This window comes from Homo sapiens, chromosome 5 (assembly GCF_000001405.40).
Source record: "Homo sapiens chromosome 5, GRCh38.p14 Primary Assembly".
In the NCBI taxonomy this organism is placed as follows: domain Eukaryota; kingdom Metazoa; phylum Chordata; class Mammalia; order Primates; family Hominidae; genus Homo; species Homo sapiens.
In genome coordinates, this window is record NC_000005.10 from 132,364,891 (window position 1) to 132,369,592 (window position 4,702).

Here is a 4,702-nt window from a genome sequence, read left to right on the forward strand (position 1 = left end):
TCCTTGTAAAAAGCATGCAATTGGCCAGGCGTGGTGGCTCATACCTGTAATCCCAGCGCTTTGGGAGGCTGAGGCAGGTGGATCACCTGAAGTCAGGAGTTTGAGACCAGGCTGACCAACATGGGGAAACCCTGACTCTACTAAATACAAAAAATTAGCCGGGCCTGGTGGTGGGCACCTGTAATCCCAGCTACTTGGGAGGCTGAGACAGCAGAATCACTTGAACCCAGGAGGCGGAGGTTGCAGTGAGCCGAGATTGCACCATTGCACTCCAGCCTGGGCAACAAGAGCAAAAACTCTGTCTCAAAAAAACAAAAACAAACAAAAAACACCATGCAGTTTATATAACATTTTTACTTAACACCTTTCCCCTAGCAACCTCCACCAGGCAACCTTCATTTAACCTAAAACAAAGGGCTTTGATCGCCTCGTAGGGCCTGCATTCTACAGGATGGGCTGGGGGTGGGAGCAGTTCAGAAGTTCGTCATAGATAAGAAATGAAATATCTGGGTTGGCCACTCCCAGATTCCTTAGCTTGGAGCTCTGAACACACATTCTTCTTAGACCATAGGGTCATTCTTCAGGTATGCATAAGTTATTGCTGCCAAGTGCATCTGTCGGGTGCATCTGCCATACACCCCTTACCAGAAGCGTCCAAACACGGATTTGAGGGATCTACAGCAGACACTGGACAGATGCTCTGAATCATTCTCTACTCTGATGCTGAAGCTATAATATTGGACTAAGCTTGGGCCTTCTACTCTTTTCTTTCTTTCTTTTTTTTTTTTTTGAGACGGAGTCTTACTCTGTTGCCCAGGCTGGAGTGCAGTGGCGCGATCTCGGCTCACTGCAACCTCCACCTCCCAGGCTCAGGCAATCCTCTCACCTCAGCCTCCTGAGTAGCCGGGACTACAGGCGCGTGCCACAATTGGCTAATTTTTGTATTTTTAGTAGAGACAGGGTTTCACCATGTTCCTTAGGCTGGTCTCAAACTCCTGACCTCAGGTGATCCACCCTCCTCAGCCTCCCAAAATGCTGGGATTACAAGTATGAGCCACCGCACCCAGCCTATTCTTTTCTTAAAGGAGGAGGCCTTCCCTTCCTCAGGCAAGTAATTGCTGACTACTCCAGCCTACATAACGTCCAGACATATCCAAATCTGTGGAGAACACAAAGTTCTTAAGGTATTTATTTAGAGTCAATAATCAAAGTAAAACTAATAATTATAGCTAATATTTAGTTTGTAGTTAATATATGCTAGGAGCTCGAGCTAAGCACTACCATCCCAGGAAACTGAGGCTTAAAACACTTTTAAAATTTGCTCAAGCTCACAAGCTTGGAATTGAAGAAGAAAGCAATTGAATATTGGTCTTTCTTCTATCATACATCCAGAGGCTCTGCACTTAATCAATACAACATACTGTCTCTTATTGCACAAGTAACTACAAGGTTCATCTGTAAAATTCTATTCTGTAGAATAGAAGGGAAAACAAATTAAGGAATTACAGATGTTTATTCTTCTGAGCTTTAATTTAACGTATTGTTTGATTCAAATAATTTATATATTAGCTATCTATTGCCACATAACATAATACCTCAAAATTTACCATTTTAAAACAACCAACATTCATTATTTCTCAGAGTTTCTGAGGATCAGGAATCTGGGAGCCACTTAACTGAGTGGTTCTGGTCCAGAAGACTCTCATGAAGTTGCAGTCAAGCTGTCAGTAGTCATCTCGACACCCAACTGATGCTGAAGGAGCTACTTCCAAGCTCACTCAAGGTTGTTGGTGGGCCTCAGTTCCTCATTAAATGTTGGCTAGAGACTTCATTCCTTGACATCACATGGACCCCTCAAAGGGCTGCTTATAACATGACAGCTTGCTTGTCTCTGAGCAAGAGAAAGGGAAAAGAACACCCATGATGGACATCTTTTATAATGTAATTACCCAAGTGATATAAGTATCATCACTAATGCTGTATGCTTTTGGTCACATAGACCAATCCTGGTACAGGGATCATTCATTGGGTGCCATCTTGGAGGCAAGCTACCACATCTGCCAGGGTATGAATGCATTTAATCTAAAGTTCTAGCCCTGAACTGTAGGGTTATCTACCATATAAATCAGTTTTACATTTTTTAATATGTAAAATAGGAACATCCCAATTCAGAATATTGCAGGATAAAGGGCCTCAGGTAACTGATTAAGATTCTAAGCTCTCTTTCTCTTTTAAAAGATGAAATTTAAGGCTGGGTATGGTGGCTCCTACCTATAATCCCAGTACTTTGGGAGGCCAAGACGGGGGGATCACTTGAGGTCAGGAATTTGAGACCAGCTTGGCCAAAATGGCAAAACCCTGTCTCTACCAAAAATACAAAAAAAATAGCTGGGTGTAGCGGCGCGTGGCTGTAGTCCCAGGCACTTGGAAGGCTCAGGTGGGAGGATTGCTTGAGCCCAGGAGGTTGAGGCTGCAGTGAGCCAAGACCACCTCACTGCACTCCAGCCTGGGTGACAGAAGGAGACCCTGTCTCAAAAAAAAAATGCAATTTAAATAGTAATGGCATTCAGATAGTAATCACAGTGCACCTGGAACTGGACGGCACCATCTTAGGTTGCTCTCTGCTTTGCGCATGTGGACAAGCCATCTATGACAAATAGTTTCTTTTCTTCCTAAGGATATGCAGCTTCTTTTGTAGTATACTGCATTGTTTTCAGTCCCTTTCAGGAATGTTATCTGATGCCCAACTGATATTTCTCAAATGTTAAAATAAGACTTCTTCATCTTGTTTGGTCTGGACAGAGGTCAACATTCTTCTCATAAAAGCTTTCATTTCTTTTGAAGCATTAAAATAATATTTTAGCACACAAAAAAGGAGTTTATTTTCAAGAAGCTTTGCTTTCTTTTTCAGTTAGTTCTAGATAAGAACTATAACTTCACATAAGATGTTAGAAGGATTTAAGTACATTGCTGAAGGTATAACCATCCATCTTCAGGAAGTAAGAATAGTGAATAGTAAGTATAAAGAAACAAACAAGTCCTGTGATAACATCTTTATCATAATTTTTTTAAGTCTATTATGCTTTATGCAAATGTTTAGATTTCCTTGTTAAAAATCTGCTGGCCAGGTTAGGTTCCCTTTCTGTAGCTTTATTTTCAACTCATAATATAGTGACTATTAAATATTCTTTACTCAACACATTATATTGTAAAAATATACACTTAGTTCTGTTTCTATCACTAAGCCACTACTATTTTAAAAAGGAATATCTTGCATTGTTAAGTTTAGCAGCCCAAATTCTTAAAGGCCTTAGGAATGGTGCTGTCCAATAAGATAACCAATAGCTACATGTGGCTACTGAGCACTTAAAAAATGAGTCTGGCCAGGCATAGTGGCTCACGTCTGTAATTCAGCATTTTGGGAGGCTGAGGTGGGAGGATTGCTTAAACCCAGGAGTCTGAGACCAGCCTGGGCAACACAGGGATGCCTTGTCTCTGTAAAATAAAAAAAATAAAAAAATTAGCTGGGCACGGTGGCATGTGCCTGTAGTCCTAGCTACTCAGCAGGCTGAGGCAGGAGGCCCACTTAAGCTTAGGAGTTCAGGGCTGCGGTGAGCTATGATTGTGCCACTGCACTCTAGCCTGGGTGACACAGTGGGACCGTGTCTCCAATAAATAAATGAATAAATAAATATTAAAAAATAAAAAGTGTGGCTAGTCCAAATTGAAATGTGCTGTAAAATACACACTGGATTCCTTTTTTTTTTTTTTTCAAATCCTGAGAACCTGTGAAACACACTGAATTCTTAAGATTTAGTATGAGGAGGGGAAAAAAAGATCAATGATTTACATATAACAATGTAAAATATCAATAATTTCTATATTGATTATATGATGAAATGATCATGTTCTGGATATACTTGATTAAATATACCATTAAAGTTAATTTCATCTTTTATTTTTACTTTTTAAATATGCAGCATTGCCCAATAAAATACAGGACAACCAGTTACATTTTTATTTTATATATTCCTGCTTGGGACATAATATTTAAAAATTATTCATTCTATATCTGAAATTCAAATTTAACTAGGAGTCCTATATTTTTATTTGCTAAATCTGGCAATTTTATTAATATGGCTACTAGAAAAGTTAACATAACAAATGTAGCTCCTTATCCTATGGAACATTGCTGCTTTAGAATCACCTCGCTGCTTTTTTTTTTTTTCCAGTTAGCTTCTGAATAAACTCTGCACGGAAATAACTAATCTGTGGGGAATATTTAACCCTAGGCTAGGATCGTTAATCGTGAAGTTAAATTTTTACATCTGCATGAACAAAATGGCTTGTTACAGACGAAAATGTGGAAAGGGCATCTGGACTAGAATGAAAAGTCATAGCTCCCAGCCTCTCTACTAGGGTAGTTAACAGTCCCAGGTTCAAAATAATCCCCGTCCCTCTTATAAGATTAGGCGGTGTCAAGAGCAACTATCTGTGAGACCCTGGGCCAGTGACTTTCTCCTTACCTCCGCCCCCAAGTAGGCCTTGCAAAAAGCTGGGAGGGGTGCGTTTTCAACACTGGAGCTTCGCGGCCGCTCTCCCACTCGCTCCCCGCCCGGCGCTAGAGGAGCGAGTTCGGACTCGGACCCCAAGGCCTCGAGTCCCGCTGCCTTCCTAAGCCGAGCCCGGGCTACCTCGGTCG

General features: G+C 41.0%; 1 long non-coding RNA gene and 1 other non-coding gene across 2 annotated transcripts in view; both read right to left on the reverse strand.

Moving 5' to 3' along the window:
* The window catches only part of MIR3936HG (MIR3936 host gene), a 58,641-nt gene that overhangs the window by 53,615 nt on the left and 324 nt on the right, over window positions 1-4,702 (reverse strand). The window contains exons 2-3 of the long non-coding RNA NR_110997.1: window positions 1,678-1,891; window positions 45-137 (exon numbers count right to left, since the gene is read on the reverse strand). This is a non-coding gene — a long non-coding RNA (MIR3936 host gene). The remainder of the gene's footprint in view (window positions 1-44; window positions 138-1,677; window positions 1,892-4,702) is intronic.
* On the reverse strand, window positions 600-709 carry MIR3936 (microRNA 3936). The gene has a single exon (NR_037500.1). It is a non-coding gene; the product is annotated as a microRNA 3936 (primary transcript).